The 26,578-nt window shown below is 36.0% G+C and overlaps 1 long non-coding RNA gene across 1 annotated transcript in view; it reads left to right on the forward strand.

Annotated features, from left to right (window-relative positions):
* LOC107985179 (uncharacterized) overlaps positions 1-25,792 on the forward strand; it is a 191,915-nt gene extending 166,123 nt beyond the window's left edge. Inside the window, exon 3 of the long non-coding RNA XR_001753502.1 lies at positions 25,671-25,792. This is a non-coding gene — a long non-coding RNA (uncharacterized LOC107985179). The remainder of the gene's footprint in view (positions 1-25,670) is intronic.
* The last annotated feature ends 786 nt before the right edge of the window (positions 25,793-26,578 follow it).

Raw genomic sequence — 26,578 nt, forward strand, 5'->3', positions numbered from 1 at the left:
AGGGTAAACAACATTTTCTACCCCAATTCTCATATTGGAAGAAATAACATTATATTATAAAAAATGTAGGTTGTACATTTATCCTTTTAAAGTCTACTTGGTTTTGGTGCCTATTTACCATGTAGGAAATCATAATTCAGTTCAAAAGATAAGATATGCAAACATAAAGTCGTTAACTAGATACTCAGTTATCAAAATGTGTGTGCTAATTATTGGAAAGACAAACAAACCCAGACACAGTTGGAGCTAGAAAAAATAATTTTGATACAAAGGAGCCTGTAATTTTTTAGATATCTGAATAACTCCCAATATAATGCAGCATGTGACTCATACTTTAGAAATCTGAATAATTTTTTTGCAGATGAAAAATGAGAAGTTACATGAAAGAACAGCATGGGTAGGATGATGCAGGAAGAAAAGTTAAGACTAATTGGGACACTTTCAGTTTATAGTGAAGAGACTAGCTTGTTACTAAATAGAAATTATAGGGAAATAGGAAATACAGAACTAGATTGTAGTTTTTGAAACTAATCCTATAGAAATCTGTGAAGCTATTTGAAGATTATTAGTATAATATAAAGAATATAAATGATTATCTTAGGTTGACAAATATGTCCGTGTTCTTGTAAGTAGGAAAAATATATAAGAAATTAGGAACAGAAGAAGAAGAACAGTTGATAAGACTCTAGACAAGAGGAAGTAACAGAGTGGGGAGAGAAATAAAAGTTATTTCGGAAAAATGATTCATATATTTAAGAGCTAGGAGACCTTTCCAGAATTATGTATGTTGAACTTCTCTGTTTATATACAAGGTAATGTTGTATTGAAAATTACCAGAATTTGGGACTATTTGTATATTGCTAATAAAAAATACAAAACACTTATTAAATATATATGTGGATAGATAGATAGATATATCACAAACTCTGAAAAGAAAGAAATGATGGTTAAAGAAAAGAGCATAAATTCTCCTCTGGAATATTGATGGAGTCATATTATGCTGATAAGATGAAAACAAACTTATGAGGTAAATTATGGTTGTGAACATTGATTTTTGAATCCAGTGACAACTGTAGTCATAAATTAGCACCAACTCAACAGCAAGCGAACATTAAAAATATAAGAGCAGAAGGTCAAGGACGCTTGCCTCCCATTTATGGTTTAGCAATAACATAATTTCTGATGTGAAATGGAAATCAAACAGAAAGACAAGGCTCTGTAAATTACACATTTAGCATGTAGAGTCAATACAGAGATATTGCTAAACCAAGTACATAATGTGTGAGGCTCAGTTCCAATCATAAAACTGGAAAGCTCCTGTAGCAGAGAAAAATCATCATTTTTTTCATCATTTTCAATATTGACGTGAACAGAAAAGAAAGAAAAAAAATCCCTGTTATAGCCCCCATTTCTTTTAGTGGAAAAGTTTTTTTTTTTTTTTTTGCATTTTGACACTTACTTAGATCAAGACTTTATGTGAAATACATATATATATATATAAACATATATGTATGTATATATAAATATATATGTATGTGTATATGTATATATTGCTTACATAGTCCACTGGGTACAATGCCTTTTCTAACATCAGGATACATGATATATCTAATCAGTTCTGCCTTCTGAAAAACATGTTCAGTCAAGTAGTAGGAGAATTCCATCTATTTGAATGCATTTGGGGAGTAAATGGTTTTCTGCACAGCTGATTCAGACAGAACCCTCACAACATGACTGAAGTGGTTACGAGAGAAATTTATCTATATCTCTCTTGTCATTTAAAACTGGAAACATTACCCTGGAAGAAAAGGACTAAGAATCAACCTGTTTTTCTAACATCTCTAGTATGTGCATGCATATATATATATATATATACATATATATATATATATACACACACATACATATGCCCAATATGTGTGCACATACGTATGTATATGTGTACATATCAAAGATCTTAAAATAGAGATTTCCCAGGGAGATTGTAAATTTGAACTTTTGAATTATTGAGGGAACAATCTACTACATCTTTATTGTTCCTATGCAAGAGTTATCTTGGAGGTGTGACTACATCCTAGCCTTGAGTTTTGCCTTAAAATCTCAAATTAAATTTTTATATTCCCTTTACTTCTGAAAATTAGGGGCATGTGAAGACATATTAACCATGCAGCTTCTTGTATAAAACATTTTTCTGAATGTAACTTGATATTGACCATGAGTTAATCATGTGCGTGTGCATGTGTGTGTGCGTGCATGTGTGGGTGTTTACTTTTAGGATACAGTTTATTCCACCAGAAATATTGTGCACACCTTTTCTATCTGACATTGGCCTCTTTTTTACTATCTTTTAACCAATCTTCACGATCCTTTCTCTATTGAATTCCTTTTTCTACTCTATTGTGTACTTTGCAACCAGCACTCCAAAATGTTGAACAGTTGCTTTTTTGGTGCATAATTTCCAAACACATACAGGCATGCAATGAAACACCTATGTTCTAAATGTAAGTTCATCTTAGTAAACATTCACAAAGTATTCCTTACAGTAAATTTTTTTTTCTAAAACAAATATTGCAGTTTATCTTTATCTTTTCTTTCTCTTTTTTGTCTAAGTCTATAATTATACTCAGGCAAGTTCATTGGTTATTTTTTTATCCTTTATGCTGTCATGAAAATGACCAAGTCCTATATTTCTGTCAAATTATCTCATTTCGTTAAAACTAAGATGTAACTCAACTTGATAGGGATAGTGCATTCCCATATGTATTTTGTTGTGGCCAGGGAAACAACCAAGAAAATGAAAGGTAACTATATTTGTGGATTGGAAAAGAATATTTGCAAACCATGTATCAGATAATGGGTTAATAACTACAGTGTATAATAAACTCAGCTAACTTGATACCACACACAAACACTTGAAAAAATGGGCAGAGGACCTAAATAGACATTTTTTCAAAGAAGATATAAAAAATGATCAATAGATATATTAATATAAAAAAGTTTGTCAGTATCACTAATCATTAGGAAAATGGAAATAAAAACCACAATGAGATATCTCTTCACACCTATTGTGATGCTATTATCAGAAAGACAAATGGTAACAAGTGTTAGCAAGGATGTGGAAAATGAGAATGAAAATTGTTACTGCCATTATGTAAATCAATACGGAGATTCCTCAGAAAATTAAAAATATAACTACCACAGACCCAGCAATCCCTTTTCTGGGTATGTGCCCAAAGGAAATGAAGTTAGCACCATGCAGAGCTATCTGCATCCCCATGTGCATTCCCCATGTGTTATTCCGAATAGCCAAGATATGGAATCAATCTAAATGGTCATCAATGAATGAATGCATAAAGAAAATGTGGCATTTGTGTATACAATGGAATATTGTTCTGCCTTGAAAACGAAGGAGATCTGTCACTTATGACAGCATAGATGAACCTAGAGGACATTGTACTAATAAGCCAAGCACAGTGAAATAAAAGTGATCTGACTTATATCTATAATTAAAAACAAACAATAAACAACTCAAATACATAGAAACATAATTGAACAAGAGTCACAAGGGGTAGAAAGTTGGAGGAAATGGGGAGATGTTCATTAAATGGTACAAATCGTACCGTTATGTAGAATGGAGAACTCTAGAGACCTAATGAGCAGCATAGGGACTATGCTTACTATCATACCCTGGAAATTTGCCAACAAAGTAGAGTTTAGGTACTTGCACCACACACACAAAAAGTTAACTCTGTGAGATGATGGTTATGTTTATTTGTTTCACTGTAGTAATTATTGCACTATATATATTTATATAGCAAAACATTATGCTATACATCTTAAATATATGTCCAAAAATTTAAAACTTGAAGTGATTTTATACCAATTTTATGCACTTTAATGGCATTTCAAAAGTTAATGTAACTGCAAAATCAAGATAGTGAAGCTGCTGTAAAAAACAGTTTGGCAATTCCCCAACAAGTTAAACATAGAATTGTTATATGGCCCAGCAATTCCTTTATATTTATGTACCCCAAAATTGTAAACAGGGGCTTAAACAGATATATGTATTCTAATGTTCACATTAACATTATTCTTAATAATCAAAAGATGGAAACAGCCTACATGATCATCAGCTGATGAATGAATAAACAAAATGTAGTAATATACCTACAATGTACTCTTATTTGTCTCTAAAAAGCAATGAAGTTCTTAAACATTGAAAAACCATAGATGAACATTGAAAACATTATACTAAGTGAAATAAACCAGACTCAAAAAGACAAATATTGTCTGATTCCTTTTATGGGAAAATTCAGTGAGACAGGAAGCCGACTAGAGAGCTGCAAATAAAGGGAATGGAGAGAGATTCCGAAAGCGTACCAAGTTTCCGATTGGGGTAATGAAAATGTTTGGAAACAATGATTGGATAGTGATAATGGTTCACAACATTGTGAATATAATCAATGCTATTGAATTACACAATTGTTGAAATTGGAAATGGTATTCTATATATATCTTACCACAATCATACATGCTATGTAAATAATAAAAAAGTTAATAGAATCTTTTAAATCAAATTTTCAATCAATTTTTTATTAAACATTTCAGCTAACTATTGTCAGTCAGGAAAATTAATTTTAAAAATATTAATTTACATTGTTGCTGCTACTATTTCTTATTTAATTAAGAATGGTCACAGAAAATCATCTTGCAGTCACTACAGATAGATGTAAAAGTGCTGTCTCCAACCCCACTTCTCCAGCAGCCTCCAGTTGTGACCACCTCACTTGTATGAGGTTCAACAAACTTTGAATCTCTCAAACAAACTTCACTAAATGGAGTGCTCATAATCACTATGTCTGAAAAAAAATTAGAATATCATTAAACAATAGTAGTCATAGTTAGAAAGGAAAACTATCACTTCTTAGTAGTTAACAAAGAAAAAAATTACAATCACCCCGAAGTATATATCCCCTGAATAAGAAGGAAAATGATAGCTAGGTGCCTGCAGTCCCAGCGACTTGGGAGAATAACTTTAGCTTAGGCATTTGAGGCTGTAGATGGTTACCAGACCTCAGCCTGGGCAATATAGTGAGACCTTGTATTATAAAATATAAACACATAAGAAATAAGAAGGCAGGGAAATGGTGCCTAAAGTCACTTATTCTATTTTTTTGTTGTTAGATGGAGTTTTGCTCTTGCTGCCCAGGCTGGAGTGTAATGGCAGGATCTCGACTCACTGCAACCTCCACCTCCTGGGTTCAAGTGATTCTCCTGCCTCAGTCTCCTGAGTAGCTGGAATTACAGGCATGTGCCACCGTGCCTGGATAATGTTGTATTTTTAGTAGAGATGGGGTTTCTCCATGTTGGTCTCTAACTCCCGACCTCAGGTGATCCGCCCGCCTCAGCCTCCCAAAGTCCTGGGATTACAGGTGTGAGCCACTGCGTCCAGCCACTTATTCTATTCTTATTAAGGTTATCTGTATGCTGAGATATCATTTATTGGAGAACTGCAAGTATTGACCATGAAGAGCTGCAAATTTGGAGCCCCTTATGCTGAAATAGGATCACATTCCCATGAGCAGCCAACGCTGTCTGTGAATACACCTGGATCCGCATCACTTTGAATGGATTATTATCCACACTGCAGAGAAGAAACAACAGTGTGGGACTGATCAAATCTTTGTTTTCTCTCTAATTGGATATAGAAGCTGTACTCGTTCTCACTCCTTTGAAATATAATGGCCTAGATTTCCTGGAAACTTGTGTGAAACAATGGAAATCAAGAAGGTTAAAGGCCTGTGACAAGAAGGACTTGAGTGTGTGAACAATTATTTATGGAAAAACAATGAATGAGACCCATTTGTGTCATATCCTAAAGCTTTTCATAACATGTGCTGAAGTGTGATACTTTAGGAACATTATAAGAAATACCCAATTCTCATTTTTCCTTGGAGCAGGCAGGAGTGTAGGAAGGGATATATTGAAAAACATTCACATTACACATACAAGCTTCTTTATTCAGATCAGTAACTGTAGCTACTGATTTACACTGCATTGTTCCTCTTTTGGTGTTATTCAGATTTCATAATTTTTTTGCAAGTAACTCTAAACCCAATTATGTGCAATATGTGTCATAATCTGTATCTTATGTGTTTGGATATATTTTGAACCTATTAAATTTTGACTTCTCTGAGTATCATGAAGAGTGCAATATTAATCATTTTATCTCCAGTAATGCAAAGCAGAAGCTTTAGATTTGATTAATTTTTATTACAAAATATGTGGCTACTCTTGATTTTTATTTCTGCTTCAATTTTAGCAGAACTTTGGCAGGGTTGAACTCTCTAATTTCATGACAGAGTTGGCTATGCCCATGTGCCAGAATGAAAGTGTTTGCACTTCTTCTAAGAAGGTAGAACCTCCTATCTAATATCAGCATTATTCTGTTATTACGTGTTCATGTTAAAATGGGGAGAGATATGATGCTTTTGTGTGTGCGTGTGTGTTTGTGTCTATGTTTGCATATATATGTCAATATATATACATACACATAAGCATAAATAGAGACAGGCTACAGTAACCAAAACAGCATGATACTGGTACCAAAACAGAGATATAGACCAATTGAACAGAACAGAGCCCTCATAAATAATGCTGCATATCTACAACTATCTGATCTTTGACAAACTTGACAAAAACAAGAAATGGGGAAAGGATTCCCTGTTTAATAAATGGTGCTGGGAAAACTGGCTAGCCATATGTAGAAAGCTGAAACTGGATCTCTTCCTTACACCTTATACAAAAATTAATTCAAGATGGATTAAAGACTTACATGTTAGACCTAAAACCGTAAAAACCCTAGAAGAAAACCTAGGCAATACAATTCAGGACATAGGCATGGGCAAAGACTTCATGTCTAAAACACCAAAAGCAATGGCAACAAAAGCCAAAATTGACAAATGGGATCTAATTAAACTGAAGGGCTTCTGCACAGCTAAAGAAACTACCATCAGAGTGAACAGGCAACCTACAGAATGGGAGAAATTTTTTGCAATCTACTCATCTGACAAAGGGCTAATATCCAGAATCGACAATGAACTCAAACAAATTTACAAGAAAAAAGCAACCCTATCAACAAGTGGGCGAAAGATAGGAACAGATACTTCTCAAAAGAAGACATTTATGCAGCCAAAAGACACATGAAAAAATGCTCACCATCACTGGCCATCAGAGAAATGCAAATCAAAACCACAACGAGATACCATCTCACACCAGTTAGAATGGCAATCATTAAAAAGTCAGAACACAACAGGTGCTGGAGAGGATGTGGAGAAATAGGAACACTTTTACACTGTTGGTGGGACTGTAAACTAGTTCAACCATTGTGGAAGTCAGTGTGGTGATTCCTCAGGGATCTAGAACTAGAAATACCATTTGACCCAGCCATCCCATTACCGGGTATATACCCAAAGGATTATAAATCATGCTGCTATAAAGACACATGCACACGTATGTTTATTGCGGCACTATTCACAATAGCAAAGACTTGGAACCAACCCAAATGTCCAACAATGATAGATTGGATTAAGAAAATGTGGCACATATACACCATAGAATACTATGCAGCCATAAAAAATGATGAGTTCATGTCCTTTGTAGGGACATGGATGAAGCTGGAAACCATCATTCTCAGCAAACTATCACAAGGACAAAAAACCAAACACTGCATGTTCTCACTCATAGGTGGGAACTGAACAATGAGAACACATGGACACAGGAAGGGGAATATCACACACTGGGGCCTGTTGTGGGGTCGGGGGAGGGGGGAGGGACAGCATTAGGAGATATACCTAATGTTAAATGACAAGTTAATCGGTGCAGCACACCAACATGGCACATGTATACATATGTAACTAACCTGCACATTGTGAACATGTACCCTAAAACTTAAAGTATAATAAAAAAAAGAAAAATATAAAAGCTGAAGAAAATGTATACAATATTTTGCCTTTTGCCTTAAATAGTTATAAATAATTAAAAATTATTGTGATTCTCTGGTAATGGTAGTGTCTACATAATGCCAAAATGATATGGAGTATATTTCCTCTCACATTAACAAATGTGCAAAGTGTTAGATTTCTTTCATGACACGTTCTGTTGAAAACTATCTCTTAACAATACATCTCCTTCTGTCACATAGTAAGACCATTTCAACTTTTTACTTCTAATGTTTGACCTTGCTTAATGGTTGTTTTTAATGAAGTAGCAACATTTTTAACCCAGGATGGGTGGTAAATTTTTACAACAGCAAGTAGATAAACCATACCCAGCTGAAGGTGTAATTGTGAAATGGTGACATAATGCGTTCAGGGTAAGTGTTTATGTGATGCAGCTCAAAAAGGAGCAGATTTGAATTTGACTCTTAGTAAAGTTATGAATGATAAATAAATCTTCAGATATTCACTTTGAATATCTAATTGGTCAAGTCAAAGAGTTACTGTATTTTCCAAGTATTAGTTTTCTCCCATGTGTTTATTTGATGTTCTATATACTCTTGCTCTGTACCAAAACCTCCTGACTTTTCTGTAGAAATTGCTGCTATTCTACATTCTTTTTCTGTTGCAGAAGGGTAGAAATAAGGCAGATTAATGTGTTCATTAATTTGTTCAACAGTTAGTAAAATAGTAGAAAACAGTAGTGCTTACATGGAGTTTATAAGTCTACTGGGGTGAGAGAGAAACCATAAACAAAGTAAATAGTTATAAAATATATCAAATGGTGATAAGGCGTACAAAGAAAATAACGCAGGTTAAATATAAGATGTGATACAACTGGAAAGAAGGAAAAAAATCTATGTTTGTATAGCAAAGTCATAAAAATTTTCAAAATTGATTTGAAATGGAGAAGTCAATTGTGAACACATTTGCTTTGCTTGATTTTTTTGATGTGATAATTATTTCCTACAGTTTCTTTATCTAAGAGGAAAAAGCTTGAATTCAGTTACAAGAAAAAAATATAGAAGAAACTGGCTTATGAGATTAGCTGATTTTTTTTTTTTTTTTTTTTTTTTTTTTTTTTTTTTGAGGCGGAGTGTCGCCCAGGCTGGAGTGCAGTGGCGCGATCTCGGCTCACTGCAAGCTCCGCCTCCCGGGTTCACGCCATTCTCCTGCCTCAGCCTCCTGAGTAGCTGGGACTGCAGGCACCTGCCACCACGCCCGGCTAATTTTTTGTATTTTTAGTAGAGACGGGGTTTCACCGTGTTAGCCAGGATGGTCTCGATCTGCTGACCTCGTGATCCACCCGCCTTGGCCTCCCAAAGTGCTGGGATTACAGGCGTGAGTCACCGCGCCCGGCCGAGATTAGCTGATTTTAGTATGAACGCCATCACTCTAAGCAGCTGACATAATAGAATGGTGAGATGGCCTATTGAAAACTCAGTGGCAGCACCTGATGTTGATAGAAACTTGCTCAGAGCTGTCTGCTAAGGTGAAGTATAAGTTTTCACTTTGTGACTCATATATAGTGCCATCTTTTCTATAAGAACACTTGGCTCTGGAAATCAAACAATGGAAGAGAGGGCATAACTCTTTTCATTATAGTAAACCCTCACTTCTCATTTGCAAAATTTTTCTTTTATCTTTGGGATTTGTGGGTCTAGATGTCATAGTAATCACAGGATAGATGCTTCTGTCAGGGGATCCAAAATAGTTGAATGGCACCTGAGGCTAGGACTGCTAAACTGGCCACTTTGGGCTCCACATTACTGTGCTATCAGAAGTAAACATGTGAGAGATGACCGTACAAACTGGGATGACTGATTGTGATTATCTGGAAAAATAATGTTCGTGTTTTGAGAGTATCTGTAAGCCAAGGTATTCACTCGATTCCTATGAGCATTGGTAAATATTACTAAAAGACAATAGCAAACCAATTTAGATAGAACCACGGATGACTTCTTCTATTCAGGAGCAGGAGTTTGGAGTCAATGTGCCAGAAAATGAAGTGCTGTCAGCTGAGGAGCTTGCTGAAACCAAAGGAAACATTGCATAGGGAAGGAAGTAATACAGACCAGCTATTGCCATAAGAACAGTTATAAAGATGAGAACTGCAGAACTATAGAAATACATGTGTATATTCAATTTCTCTCTTTAAACTCACACATATATACATCTACATATACACATATTGATGGATTGATAGATTGATGATAAGGTATTTAAGAAACTTCGTAATCTTTGTATTTTAACCAGCGTTTCTAATAGCCTTCCTCTACTCTTCTATAAAGCACTGCTGGTGATTAAATGTATAGCACCATCTTTAAGTTGCTGGATATCTGAAAGACATCTTGTAAATGAGATGGAAGAAAATGAAGAGTACTCAATGAAGGGTACAGTGACTTATGAGAGTGCAACCTTTGCTTTTTGAGAGGGAGTCTTGCTCTATAGCCCAGGCTGTTGTGCAGTGGCAATATCTGGGCTCACTGCAACCTCCGCCTCCCAGGTTCAAGCAATTCTTGTGCCTCAGCTTCTTGAGTAGCTGGGACTACAGGTGTGCCTCACCACTCCCTGTTAATTTTTGTATTCTTAGTAGAGATGGAGTTTCTCCATGATGACCAGGCTGGTGTTAAACTCCTGACCTGAGGTGATCTGCTTGCCTCGGCCTCCCAAAGTGCTGGGAATATAGGCATGAGCCCCTGCTCCTGGCCAACCTTTGCTTTTTGAAGAAAACTTACATCATATTTGCCAGAAACAAAATGCAGTTTTTAATGGTTCAGTAGCTGAAATTTTGTTAAAAGTTCATATACAGATGCTGAATTGACAAAGGAATGAATTGCGCTGGGCTTTTTGTGGTTACCCAAGCCTGTCTGACACCCCTATTTACAGTCTCCTTGGATGGCCAAGGAGAATCTAGGAAGAATCTTTCTCAGTATCTGATTTATAGCATAGGTCCAGATAAGATTCTGCCAATGAGAGGGTTTCACATGAGATTTAGAAAACGGAAGAAACAGAGAAGTTATCATTATCTGAACTCATTTGGAAGCACCACCAAGCTTGCACATAGCAAGTCACTCACACCGGCTTTGATGCTGCAAGATGTTAAGGGAGGTTCCATCAAACCACCACCACCCCATCCCCAGCACTAACTAAAATTCTACAGTTTCACAAAAGCAACTTAGTAAGTGTCTAAAATAGTGAGCTCCTATTTATAATATTGTCCTTTGTTTTCATTCAAAGGCATTCTAATAGTGTGTAATAAGTCTCCAATTATCTGCCTTCAAACAGTGTCCACTTGGAATACTCACGGTGGTTTTCATTTTCCTTACCAAATCTCAACTGAAGCATCTGCAAAGAGCATTCCAGGCAGAGGAAAATGCTACCCACACCACCCCACTGAGGGAGAATGCATCAGTTAAGGTCCTGTCTCATTTTCCTTTCACTTGGCCTTAAATGAACTTCAAGTATCACAGCTTCTTTGAAGGTATTCAATAACATATTTCCTCAGGCAGAGTACCTAAAGGATATTTGCTGGATTATAACAGTGGAAACTGTAGAATAATTCTATACTTCATATAAAATAGTTCTGTTTTAGCCAACCCAGGTGCCTGCAATATCAGAACCATTTTCTATGACATAAGTAAGCTACTTCTCATGTCTCAGTGTGATGACCAAGCCTCTTGAATCGAGTTAATACATGACTTCTTTTAGACTTAAATGAGCCAACTGGACTGAAATGTTGTAGTTTTGTAAAATGACAACATGAGCATATTTATCAGTGTTCTGAGTAGATAAACTGTGCTTATTGGATTGTTCCAGCAGACTAACCACTACTCTGATTGCATTAAAAAAGGCACTTATTGTCATGATAGCCAATGGGATTGTTTGTCAGTATCTGAATTCCAACCTAAATAATTGTTGTGTTAAAGGAAATTTCTTGATTTAAAATGGAAGATACCCAGAAACACTCCTTAGTCATATTATTGTAAATAATTTCAATAAGTTTGTTACTGGTGTTGTCAATTGTGGATGAATAGATATTGAAGGCATCTACATAGCAAATTACTGAATTAATATGCAGAATGTTACTTCAGAACTCTCTATAGGCTTTAGAAAAATGAACACATCAGCAGAATCCAAGTGGTAGTTAATAGGTTTACCTCAGTGTCAGGGAGTTCAGAATTCATAAGATTATGTGTCCTTGTCTATAATTAGTGTAGATCTTACTTATTGTTCATTCGTTATGATGTGGGAGCCATCTAAAATATGCTGTCTTATTGAATGTAATGTTTGTTTTATAATGATTGTGTGTAAAAATTTCTGCTTTTAGACTCACCAGGGATCCAGTACAAAGTAGTTAAAATGTTACTGAACTTAAGCATTAAAGGCTTTATCTGATAAAGAAAATAAAAGATAATTCCTAACAATCAACATTCTCCCTACGAATTAATGCATCTGACATAGCTCACTCTTGTAAATATATTAATTGAATTTGAAGCCATTGAGTACCAGAAAGATTCTAATTTATATCCTAGAGTTGGTTTGCTCAGACTAGAGCTCCCAAGAGGATGATACTCAGGAGGGAAGAGATGGTTCTAGGCCCAATTACAAGAAATAAACCTAAAACATGTCCATGCTGTTGGAAATTTTGACCTACAATTGTAGTCCAGTTTTCAAATATGTGCTTTTACTAGAATGATTATATCATTTCTTTATTAACTGTTTGACAGTAAATACTGTTTTTGAGATACTTCTAGTGTCTAATGACACAATATTCTCATCTGTCTACAATTGCCCAATCCTATTTTCTACTACTGCTTACAGGCAGTCTATACTCAAAACAATGAATTACTACATGAAAGATTGGATTTCCCATATCCTTAGTTATGCTCATTTCGCTCCCGATACTGACAATAGCTTTTTCTGTTTAATTTCTTCATATTGAACTTCACTCATCTCTTAGTGAAGTAAATATAGCTGTAGAGTTCAAAAATTAGAATTTCTTCAAATATACTCTATCTTAATGGTAATCATTAAATTTCATTAATGTATAGTTTTGAATTATATTGATACATAATGTTTTCATATCACCTGCTACCCTTCCCTCCCTGTCCATTCTTTCTACATAAAGAGCTTTGCTCTTACTAACAGAATGACTAGGTATCAACAACTACAGGATATGTTTGTGGTCAATCATGTCTGCCATTACTTATCTGAATACACACATACAACAGTTATATACATCAAGAAGTATAAATAGGGGTACATAATTTGTATTAAATATAAATACATATTACTTATATAATAAAAATTATATACAAAATATATATAATATTAAATACAGATAAGATTTGCCAAAGAGTTAAATTTGACTCCATATATTATGTATATGTCATTGCCTAATTGGCTAGAAGAGAATTAATACAGCTCATGTAGCCCTTTGCTCTATATTAATTTCAAAGTACTGTGGAACCACTAGTAGCAAAGTTGTGTTATATACTTCTTATGCTCCGATATATTTGTTCCTTTGTGTGAAACTTTATTTTATGGTTGAATGTGCTACAGTTGTATTTTATAATTTATATCTATTAAAGTTCCATGTGTTTATTATTTTGATGTTTCACTCTAATCAAACCTTTATTTTGTAGTAACTTACCTATTTTACAAAAATAATGTTTAAACTATTAAATTTTAAAGCTATTAAGCTTATTATTTTGGATTGTTTTAAAATAAAACATTCCATAGCTATTATGAATATGGAATTTATTAATGACTGGTAAATTCTTTAAAATAGAATTTAAGAAATTCTGAGAAAGAAAACTGTTATGTATAAATTTATACTTTTGTCATCAATGGCTAATTGTTACCTTTTTCTATGAATATGAGTTAAATTAGCTAATCAGAAAAATCAATAATCTGAATATAATAATGTATAAGAATTCAATCCCAATTAATACATCAATTCAATTATTTATTTAAGAAAATATTGAGTGCTATATGCCAAGAATGTGCTAGTAACCAGGAAGACAAAGTCAAAAAAATGTCAATTAATTGATCCTGAATGGTTAAGAAAGGCAGACAAATCAACTAACAATACAGCACAGTGTCTAGTGAGAGCACATTTCATACTTGAGCAGGACCACCTGAGACTGACTTTGAGATCAGGATGGAAAAATACCATGCCAAAAAAGGAGACTGAAATTACGTTAGCTAGCCAAGGAAGGGTTAAGGATATTAAGGTTGATTTTATCAAACTTAAAAGAAGATATATTAAATTTGTTTGTATTCAGCAAAGAGAAAAAAGTAAACACAATAAATTAACATTTAATAAAAAAAAAACTTCTCTTAGTTTGGCATCCCCCTCTATATTGCTGAGTGTGACTGAAATGTTACCTCCAAAAATTATCTCTCTGTTGATGGATAAGGTTGATTTAAGTAACCTGACTAGCTAGACAGCTCTAGAGAGTTGAATCTGTGTGCTATTTATTACATATTTTTAACTATCAGAGTGTAGGGGATTTGTAAAAAGAGTGTCATATTTTTATTTTTAGTAATTCTATATTCTCGAATACATGGTCTTTCTGCAAAGTCTAGATTGTTTTAAGATTAGTTGAACCCTAAGGGCAGTGCATATTTTTATTTGATCGTGGATTAGGAAAAATGTGGATAAAGTTTTGCAGCTTGTTCAAAACTCTATCCAATGTATCGATGAAGAAAATATTCCAAAGGAGAAAAAAGTAATGTCACTAAAGTGTTTGTATTTTTTTAAGCTGCTTTTATTGGTTTGTATCTCTTCATAAAGAAATGGCTCCCAGTTGGATTCCTTTAAGATTGAATGCTAGAAGGTCTTTCTTGGAATTAATGCAAAGTCTCTGTTTAGAAGATAATATGTCTGATAAGTCAAGTTGATTCCAAAAAAAGAATATATTCTCGTTACAGCTCAATGACCCACCCTCAAGCACTGGTTAGCAAATAGTCCATTGAAGCAAACAATGACCCAGTTCCATGCAGAAACAACTTACTGCTGTACTGAGGGAGGAAAGCAGAGAAACCTTATTCCTTCATATTACCCAGAGACTTCTGATAAACTAATAAACTAATTAGAATTTCGTGGAGTTTTTATTTTAAGTGTTTTCCTCGTAGCTAGGCTTACTGTTTTATAAATCCTGCTTGTTCTCTATCCCCAGATTCATTAGACTCTGAGATGCTCAGACTAAAAAATGCAGAAAATCTTGGGAAGAATATAAGTTTTCTGTATTTAGCTATTTTTAAACTTCATGTTTTGCACACTGAACTGATATTAAACTAAGAAGAATGCAGGTGAGAACACTTCTTTTTAATATATGCTAATGAGTGCAGTTTGGCCCAAAATGTGCTGCTGTTTCTATATAACACTTTGTTACTGCTGGGAAGATTTTCTCCTAAGTGGTTCTATAGTTAATTATTATCCCCTTCATACCTTCATTTGGATTCTATACTACCATTAACCACCTTTTCAGGCTTCCAGTACCTAGCAAACTAGTTCGTAGTTTTATTACCTGCAGTGAAAAGATTTAGAAAAGAAATTAAGGACCATTTTTTCCCAGATTTGATTTTCATGCCTTGGAAAACATTTCAGAGAACATTAGAATTTCTAATATCTTGTTATATTACCTTGAAAATTGGAATTTAAAATAAAAGCCAAGAGTTTGAACTAAATAGAAAGAGTGAATATAATCTAAAAATGCAATGATAATTGGTCCAATCTCCATGAATTTGAAATGAATGAACAGAAATTTTCAACATGAAAGTTATTAAAATAACTTTTAGTTATGGAACCTGAGGGTAGTGGTAAGTATTGGCTTTATCTATTGTTGGACTTAAACTAAATCTCTAAAGCCAAAAAAAAAAAAAGTTTATTTTCAGCTGTTTTATACTATACCTTGTTTTTTGCATAGTGTTGCAATAAAACTAGGAATAAATTATGCCAACAGAATCTATGCATGGAATTCCTTATAATTGTCTCTGAAGAAGTTGTGGCATGGTGAATCTGTCAGCCAATAGACCAATTTCTAAACTTCCTTCATAAGATAACTTTACAAGTTTTGTGACCTCGCGAGGAAACTGAAGCTCTTTTGACCCCTAGTTTCTCCTGTAGTAAATGAGGAGAGAAGAAAGACAAGAGGACTGTGGGTGAAGGGAAGACTTTCAAGTATTGATATTTCATGATTAGGTACAAACCGTGAATCTTGTGTTTAATTTTTTTCTATTACATTTTTGTGTGATTGGTGTCTTCTTCAGCTAGCAGGATGCCTGCTATATATTGCCGTCTAGAAGGAAAACTGAATATTGAAGAATTTTGTGTCTCCTGGGGGAACATTGAAATGTTATTTGCCATTAAAACGCAACGTTACGCTACTCATGAGCACAGTGTGTCTGTTCCACGATAGGGAACAGAACTCTGGCAAAGTCTGTAGTAATGAATCTCTACCTACACATTCCTTATTATAATTTGCACAAAGAGCTTGTTTCAAGATTGGACAGGGACAATGTAAGTTCTCACTCAAGATTAATTAAAAAGCTCAACCCAGGATATATGGATCAAATAGTTTATTATTTAAAGGATATCTTCCAGATGTTCATATGTTGCTAGAGATTGGTTATATGCAGGAAATAAGTCATAAGTGTTTGTAAAAGTAGTAATAGTCTAGCTGGCTGGAGAGAAAGACAGAAAACATAAGTGTAAGTTGGTATGATATATGGAATCGTAGAATCATACATAGTGTAAAGCAGCAGTATGGCTAAGCAAAAGTAAAAGCTTCCAAAAAGTCCAAGTAATATTTTTCTCTCAGGTAATCAAATGTTTGGAAGAGCTGTGACGAAAGACAAAAAATAACGAGTACTGTTGAGGATGCAGAGAAAAGGGAACTCATACACTATTGGTGAAAATGTAAAAATTCACAGATGCTGGGAGAAGTAAGGTTTCTGGTTTAGTGAAAAAGGAGTGTATTACTCAAGGCAAAAAAAGTTAGCCTGAGCAGAGTATTTGTGTCAGTTTCTCTTGCACCAAAATCCCACAAGGGCAATGCAGAATGGTTTCAATGAATGCCCTCACACAAAGTACATCCATTATGGAAAGCAGTGAGGTTTCTCAGAAAACTAAAAATAGAACTACATACAATCCAGCAATCCCATTACTGGATATTTATGCAAAGAATGGAAGTCAGTCTGTCAAAAGGATACCTGCACCTCTATGTTAATTGCAGCACTATTCACGATAGGCAAGATATGGAATCAACCTAAGGGTCCATCACAGACAAACGGATAAAGAAAATATGGTAGGTATACACAATGGAATCTTATTCATCCATAAAAAGAATTAAATCCTATCATTTGCAACAAAATAGGTGGTACCGATGGTCATTATGTTAAGTGAAAGAAGCCAGTCACAGAACAACAAATATTACATGTTTTCACTCTATGTCTGGGCTAAAAATGTTGATCTCATAGAGGTGGAGAGTAGGATAATAGTTATCAGAATCTGGGAAGAATAAGGGTGGGGAATGAAGAGAGACTGGTTAATGGGTGCAAATACACAGTTAGAAAGAAGAGATAAATTCCAATGTTCCATAGCACAATTAATGACAATTCATTGTGTATTTCAAAATAGCTAGAAAAGAAATCATAAATGTTTGAGGTGATGGACATCCTAAATGCCTTGCTGTGACCATTACACATTGTGTGTATACATCAAGATACATGTAACCCAGAAATTTGTACAATTAATATGTATCCATTTTTTAAAAAAATTAAAACTGTGAAGGTCTGAGATTTTACCCTACCTACAATCTTAACAAGTTAACATGCCAGCTTCACAGATGCTGGGAGAAGTAAGGTTTCTGGTTTAGGGAAAAATGAATGTATTACTGAAGGCAAAAAAAGTTACCCTGAGCAGAATATTTGTGTCAGTTTCTCTTGCACCAAAATCCCACGAGGGCAATGTGGAATGGTTTCAATGAATGCCCTCACACAAAGCAAGGTGAGCTTTGGAAGAGAAACCTTGAGCATAGGGAACCTGAATCTATAATAATATGCAATAAGCATGTCTGCCCTTAGCTCCAGAGGTAAACACTGTCTCTAACTTCCCGGGCTACAGGCGGCCAGCCTACCCTTTACCCTGATGGGAAACATTACCTCTCTCTTCCATGGCTGCTTCCTACATGATGTTCCTGAAAAGATCGTTTGGAACAAAGGCAGTAGGTGGCTGTTCTAAGACTTGTAGAAATGGTTAGAGACCCACAGAAATTTGTCTTTCAACAAGTTGTAGGGACTTCATGTTCAGCAATTCAGAAGCAGACCTGGACCAGAATGGTGCATTTTAAGTACGTCATGATCTGTATGTTGCAAAATAGAGAATCTTAGATGGCTCTAAGGTGAAAGAAAAAAAGAAATTTTATTTTGGTTCAGGAAAATGGCATGACACAATTCAATAGCTATGTGCATTGAAGGTAGAATTTTCATAATAAATTTCATTCTTTTCTGTTGAAATGAAGGTAAACTACAAGAATACTATTAAATTGTAGGCTTAAAATTTGAAATATAAAAGTAGCAATAAGTAGCTAATATAGATTATTTATATAGGCACCATATTGAGACGTATGATTTTCTTTATTTTTTTTTCTTTGAGACTGGAGTCTTGCTCTGTTGCCCAGGCTGGAGAGCAGTGGCACAATCTCAGCTCACTGCAACCTCCACCTCCTGGATCAAGCGATCCTTCTGTCCCAGCATCCCAAGAAGCTGGGATTACAGGCATGTGCCACGATGCCCAGCTAATTTTTTGTATTTTAGTAGAGACTGGGTTTCACCATGTTGGCCAGGATGGTCTCAATCTCCTGACCTCATGATCCACCTGCTTTGGCCTCCCAAAGTGCTGGGATTACAGGCGTGAGCCACGGCCCCAAGCCTACTGTTTTTTGTTTTTGTTTTTGTTTTTGTTTTTCCTGAGACTGGAGTCTCGCGCTGTTGCCCAGGCTGGAGTGCAGTGGCACAATCTTGGCTCAGTGCACCTCCACCTCCTGGGTTCAAGCAATCCTCTTGCCCCAGCCTCCCCAGAAGCTGGGATTACAGGCATGTGCCACCATGCCCGGCTAACTTTTGCATTTTTTTGTAGAGACAGAGTTTCACCATGTTGCCTGGGCTGGTCTTGAACTCCTGAGCTCAGGCAATCCACCCACCTCAGCCTTTCAAACGGTTGCGATTATAGGCATGAGCCACCATGCTCAGCCTGAGGCATAGGATATTTAATGAAAACAAACAAACAAACAAGCCAGTAGTTACAGGGAAGCTGATTTTGAAAAGCTTTCCACCAGTGCACATGCATTGAGTGCCTGTTATATATTGGGTGTACATTCTAGGCTTTGGGAAATTGGGGGAAATAAGAGAAAATAAACCAGATATATATTTTCTACATTTTGTCCAGTTAGAAGAAGAAAATGGGAGGTAATGTTGTACCAAATGAGAAAAAAAAATGTCAGACATGTTGTAGAATAGTCTATCAGTGTTATGGGCATGAGAAACAAATGAAAACTAAATGATAAATGTAAGTTTCAAAGAACACTTGAGATTTAACTGAGCCATGAAGGAAAAAAAAATGATTTAAAGAGGCAGAAAGAAGCAGCAAAAATGCCATAAAAATTAGAAAGCACAGCATTATAACTATTAAGGGGAGCGACTAAAAAGGGAAAATATTATCACTTGAAAAGGTTTATACGGCATAAGATTTAACTGTGAATGACCTTGATAGAATCTGCCTGTACTTGGAGAGTGCATTTGCCACAAAGTCTCGTGAAGCTTATATGTACGCAGTGGCCTCTTGTACAGTGTAATTCACAATGTGTCCACATGGTACAGTAACTTTGTAAATTTTGCTAAAACAACATTTTTGTAGCCCTACTTTTGGAAATTCCACCTCCAAAATAACAATGAATAAATACATAAAACAAAATAAAAGGCTTCAGTTCCCTCAGAATCCTGGATGTTTTTGGAAAGAAGGTAAAGTATTAAAATCATTGGTCACGATTATAACTGAATTCAGTAAGATACCCTTTGTGTTTCTTTAGGTTTTCAGGGCCTCAGATGTCACTCTTCCTTTTGCTATGCTTATGAAATCTTCTGAATTAGATTACATTCAACTTCTGGAAGTTCAGTCATTTACTTTTTTTTAATCTTCTTAATTTTTGAAAATTTCCAAGAAAAATTCACAAGACTTAACAAAATGTTCTACTTGTTTCTTATTTCCCTGGATGGACATCTCCCATCCAAATGTGAGAGGCTACTCTTGGGCTCACCCCTTGCTGACTGAAGTGGGTGCTGTGGTGATCTGGGGAGACTACTTGTCTGGGACAGAAGCCCTCATTCCCTCTCCTTAAGCAGAGCCCACATTCAATGTGGGGGTACAAAGCCTTTGAAGGGCCAGCTCAGCTCCTGAGATCTCCACTTGGCTTTCATTAGCCAAGAAAACGTGCTCAATGATGGCATAGAAGAAAAGCAGTTGAAGCATGCGGGGCAACTGCAAGCACACCTGGGAGACATTGCCACCCAATGCAACAAAGCCAACTTCACAATAAAGCTAGTCATACATTTCTGGTGTCCCAATGCATACAAAAGTTATGTTTATGCTACACTGCAATCTATTAAGTGTGCAAAATCGGTATGTTCAAAAAAACTGTCTACACATCTCAATTATAAATACTTCATTGCTAAATTATGTGAATAATGAAGGGAGACTTCAGCAAGTCATAATCATTTTCCTGGTGGAGGCTCTCACCTTGGTGTTGATGACTGCTGGTTGATCAGGATGATGGTTTGCTGAAACTGGGGTGACTTTGGCAATTTCTTAAAATAAGACAACAATAAAGTTGATTGTTTCTTCCTTTCACGAAATATTTCTCTGTAGCATGCGTTGCTGTTTGATAACATTTTACCTACCATAGAACTACTTTCAAAATTGGATTTGATCCTCTCAAACCCTGTTTTGCTTTATCGACTAAGTTTATATAATATTCTAAATCCTGTATTGCCATTTTAACAATGTTTACAATGTCTTCACCAAGAGTAGACTCCATCTCATGAAATCACTTTTTTTGCTCATCCTTAAGAAGAGACTTCTCATCCATCAAAGATTTGTCATGAGATTACAGCAGTTCAGTTGCATCCTCAGCCTCCACCTCTAATTCTAGTTCTCTTGCTATTTCCACCATATCTGCAGTGACTTTCTCCATGGAAGTCTTGAAGCCCTCAAAGACATCCATGAGAGATGGAATCAACTTCATGCAGACTCCTGTTAATGTTGACATTTTGACATCCTTTCATGAATTGCGAATGTTCTCGATGGCATCTAGAATGGTGAATCTTTTCCAGAAGGTTTCCAATTTACTTTGCCCAGACCCATCATAAGAATTACTGTGTACAGCAGTTATAGCCTTATGAAATGTATTTCTTAAATAAAAAATTTGGAAGTCAAAAATGCACCCTTGATCAATTTTTTGCAGAATGCACGTTGTGTTACCAGGCACTAAAACAATGTTAATCACCAGTGCACATCTACATCAAATATCTTGGGTATTCTGGTACATTATCAATGAGCAATAATATTTTGAAAGGAATCTTTTCTTTTTCTGAGCAGTAAGTCTCAATAGTGGGCTTGTAATATATAGTCAATCATGCTGTAACAGATGTGCTGTCATCCAGGTTTTTGTTCCATTTATAGAGCATAGGCAGAGTAGAGTTAGCATATTTTTAAAGGCCTTAGGATTTTCAGAATGGTGAATGAGTATTGACTTCAGCTTAAAGTGACCAACTTCATTTGCCCCTAACAAGAGAGTTGGATAGATTTTGAAGCTTTGAAGCCAAGGACTGGCATCTCCTCTCTAGCTATGAATGTCCTAGATGGCATCTTCTCTCAAGAGATATTATTTCATCTACATTGAAAAGCTGTTGTGTAGCGTAGTCACCTTCATCAATTATCTTTGCTAGATCTTCTGAATCACTTTGCTGCAGCTTCTGTATCAGCATTTGCTGCTTCACTTTGCACTTTTATGTTATGGAGATCGCTTATTCTCTTAAACGTCATTAAAAAACCTCTGCTAGCTTCATAACGTTTCTTCTGCAGCTTCCTCACCTCTCTCAGGATTCATAGATATGAAGAGTTTTAGAACCATGCTCTGAATTAGGCTTTGTTTTAAGGGACTGTTGTGTTTGGTTTGATCTTCTATCCAGACCACTAAAACTTTCTGCATAGCAGCAGTAAGGCAGTTTCACTTTCTTAACATTTGTGTGTTCATTTGAGTAGCACTTTTAATTTTCTTCCAGAAATTATTCTTGCCAGGCACAGTGGCTCATGCCTGTAATCCCAGCACTTTGGGAGGCTGAGGCAGGTGGATCACCTGAGGTCAGGAGTTCGAGACCAGACTGGCCAACACAGTGAAACTTCGTCTCTACTAAGAATACAAAAATTAGCCAGGCATGGTGGCGTGTGCCTGTAATCCCAGCTACTCAGGAGGCTGAGGCAGGAGAATCGCTTGAACCTGGGAGGCGGAGGTTGCAGCGAGTGAGATCACGCCATTACACTACAGCCTGGGTGACAAGAGCGAGACTTTGTCTCAAAAAAATAGAAATTATTCTTGCATTCACAACTGGGTTAACTGTTTGTCCAAGAGGCTTAGCTTTTGGCGTGTCCCAACTTTCAACATGCCTTCCTCATTAAGCTTAAACATTTCTAGCTTTTGACTAAAGTGAGAGATGAATGACTCTTCCTTTTGCTTGAACACTTAGAGGTCAATGTAGGGTTATCAAGTGATCTAAATTTCATATTTTTCTGTCTCAGGGAATAAGAAAGCTCGAGGAGAGGCAGAGAGACAGGAGAAGACCCTGTCAGTGGGGTAGTCAGAACACAGAACAGTTATCTATTAAGCTTGCTATGTTACATGGGTGTGGTTTGTGGTGTCCCTAAACAATTAGAATAATAACATCAAAGATTATTGACTACAGATCACCATAACAGATACCATAACAGATATAATAGTAATTTAAAAGTTTGAAATATTGTGAGAATTGCCAACATATGACAGAGACATGAAGTGAACACAGGCTGTTGGAAAAATGGTACCAATGTATTTGCTTGACAACAGGGTTGCCACAAATCTTCAGTTGGTAAAAAAATCCCCACAATACCTGTGAAACACAATACAGCAGAGTATAATAAAGCAAGGTTCTCCTGTAGTGACTAGGGAAAATTTTGTTCCAGATGGAGGATCCATGTGTATCAGGGCACCGCCAGGAAGTGTTGATTATGTAGTGACAGATTTAAGTGAGGTGCCCCGTACTTCCCATGCAGGTAGAAATGAACCTGTCATGAGGAGCCAGGGACACAGACAATCACTAGAAGGCAGAGGCAGTCGTTGTTTAGCAGAGGTACTTGCCTTGGGCAAAACTGTATCGAAAAGCATTGGAAAATAATGTCATATGCCACAACAACATCATGTAATACAAGAAAAGAAATAGTGAAATTTTATACATACACATACATATAATGTCATAAAATTAATATTTTCTTTTGGAATAATGAAGAGTCCATTAATAAGACTTTAGTATTTGACTGTAAAGGTTTAATTTTAATTATTATAGGTTATAATGTCATAAAATTAATAGTTGACGCTATGAGTTACCTTGGTGAGTGTAGATAAGGCGATGGGGTGGAAGATAATGCTACAGTGAGGTAAAGGGTGAATAGAATGAGAAGATTTATGGGCAAAAATAAGATCTCTCCAAGAGGGCAAATTGTTCTCACAAAGGAAGTTCCAGAATCTGTTTTAGAGAATGCAAGAATGTAGTGCACACCAGGGCGTTCTTGAGCTACAAGCTTATCACTTACACATTGATACTTATTGGTTCATTTATTTTTCGTTTCAAATGTTTACGTCTTTTGTTGTGGCTCGAATATGGCCCCCAAAGTTTGCATGTTGGAAACCTTATTGCCATTGCACCAGTAGTGAGGAGGGGCCTTTGGGAGGTGACAGCGTCATGAGGTCTCTGCCCCCATAAATGGATTAGTGCCATTATGGCAGGAGAGGGAGCACTGTGAAAATATAAGATTGGCCTTCATTTGCTTTCTTTGTGTTGTGTGCTCTTTTTTACCTTCCACCCTCTGGCCATGACCGTCCCCAGGTGCCAGCATCATACTCCTGGACTTTCCACCTTCCAGAACTGGGAGAAATAGCAAATCACTTCTGTCTGTAAATTACTTGGTCTGTAGTTTTCTATTATAGCAGCAGAAAACAGGCTAAGACACACTTGTATTAGTTTGCTAGGATTGTCATAATAACATACCATAGATTTGATGGTTTAATAAATAGAAACTTATTTTCTCATGGCTTTAGAGCCTGAAGTCCAAGTTCAAGCTGTCAACAGGTTGGGTTTTATTTGAGGCTTATTTCTTTGGCTTGCAGAGAATACCTTCTCACTGTGTCCTTGCATGGCCTTTTTTCTGTGAGGATGATCCTCTGGTGTGGCTTCCTCTTCTTCTAAAGACACTAGTGCTTTGGACTAGGGCCCCACTCCTATGATCTCATTTTACCTGGATTACCATCTTAATGGCCTAATCTCCAAACACAGCCACTTTGGGGGAAACACAATTCAGTCCATAACAATCCTTATTTTCCTTCAATGTCTACAGAAGACAATTGAGCCACTAGTATTATTTTCTTTTGGAATAATGAACAGAGTCCATTAATAAGACTTTAGTATTTGACTGTAAATTTTATGTATTTTGTAATTTATACCAGGTTATTTAATATTTATCATTTTATATATTTTTATTTATCATTTTATGTATTTTGTAGTTTATAGTGGTTTATCTAATATTTATGTTCTTCTGAATATTGGTCATAATTAAGGGTCTTCAAATTTTTTAAATGAGAAATAAATAGGATAATGTTTATTCTTGGGAGCGTCTCTGAGATACAATCTGCTATAAAACTCTTAGTGATTTCTATTCCCTTTAATTGGAGTTTAAGATATGTAAAGTGGTAAGAGACTGAATTGACTACGTAGGTAAAGCCTGGGTGTCAAGGAACTAGAGAACATTCTAAGGAAGGCACAAGTATGCACTGAGACGCTGAATTTCAATTTAGGAGAGAAGTCAGTAATTAGGTTGTAATTTTCAAAGTGGTCATAACTAAAGGGCATAAGACTTACAGTGAAACATTTCCAGGGAAATGAAAACTAACCAGAAGTAAACATTTTTATTATTCTTATTATAAAATTATTCAAAACAACAATGTTTAGCCAATGAAAAGTGTTTCTAAACTAAACCTTGTCATTAAAAACCATATCGGTACTGGTTAATGAATCATTAGAAAAACAAAACTAACATAGAATCATGGAAAAGTAAGTGAATATAGCCATGCATTAGAAACTCTTGAATCTTTTTTTTTTACAACAATGGCAAAATTTGAATGAGAAATTATTGATGGTATTCATCACCCAGTAGGTAAGATAGCCATATCACTCTGATTCAGCCTCTGTTGATGCCCGTATTTCTTGTAGTAGATATGAAGAGCCAGGAGTGACACTCACACCACCCTCCACCCCCTTGGAAGTGTTACACCCGTTCACTTGTCCACACCTTGTGTTCAGGCAGGAACTCTTGCTGTAATGCTGGAGGTGGTCGGGCACAACTCACAGCCCTGCTTGGGACACAGCAGCTGGGGGTCCATGGAGATGTCTACCTGAGGCCAATTGGAGCGATGGATGCTGCTTCAGGTAAGTTGAAGTTCCTTCTTGTGAGGAATGTAGGCTCAGTTTACTGGTCTGGTTCTTAGCGCAGTGGTGCAAGCTTCTTAGTCTCATGAGGGCTGAGAAGCCAGCCTGTGAGCGCTCAGGCTCTCTAACTTCCTGGGCTCCTAAACAATGCCTGGGCCCACCCACCTAGCTTCCTAGACAGCGTATCTAATCACAAGCCTATAATGCTCTCCAAACTGTTTTCTTGTGTTTTCTAAATATACTATGATTCTGGAGTGGGAATGAGAAGAATAAAAAACAAGTGACACAAATATGCTGAAACAGGTTGGACAGCTACATCCAGCTATGAGAGAAGAACACCAAGTATTTCAGCCACCTTGGCTCTAGTGGAGCTCTTATGTTTTCTGTCTAGTAAGATAATAATAATAATGGTGAAAGGAATGTCTTTTTACATCCATGGTATTTGGGATTCAAATGTAATTACAGATTAGGGTTTTTTTTTCACTGTCTCATGGAAACAGATATTGCGCTAAATCAAGAAAATTACATAAATAGGGAAAATGTCCTATTTTAAAAACCCTAACATTTACAAGAGTTGCCTCCAAAATTTGTTATTATTTTTATCCCAGAGTAAACCAGGTTACTTTGAAAAGCAAGGTCAGGAAGGATCTCCTGAGGGCTACATCATCAATACTTTCTATCTACCATTTTAAGACCCAAAATAGCACTCATGCTATAGTGTAGAAAACACTAGAGATCTTAGGTTATTTGAATTTTACAAATGCCAGGGTGAGTTCTTGGCC

This window comes from Homo sapiens, chromosome 18 (genome assembly GCF_000001405.40).
Source record: "Homo sapiens chromosome 18, GRCh38.p14 Primary Assembly".
Taxonomy (NCBI): Eukaryota; Metazoa; Chordata; class Mammalia; order Primates; family Hominidae; genus Homo; species Homo sapiens.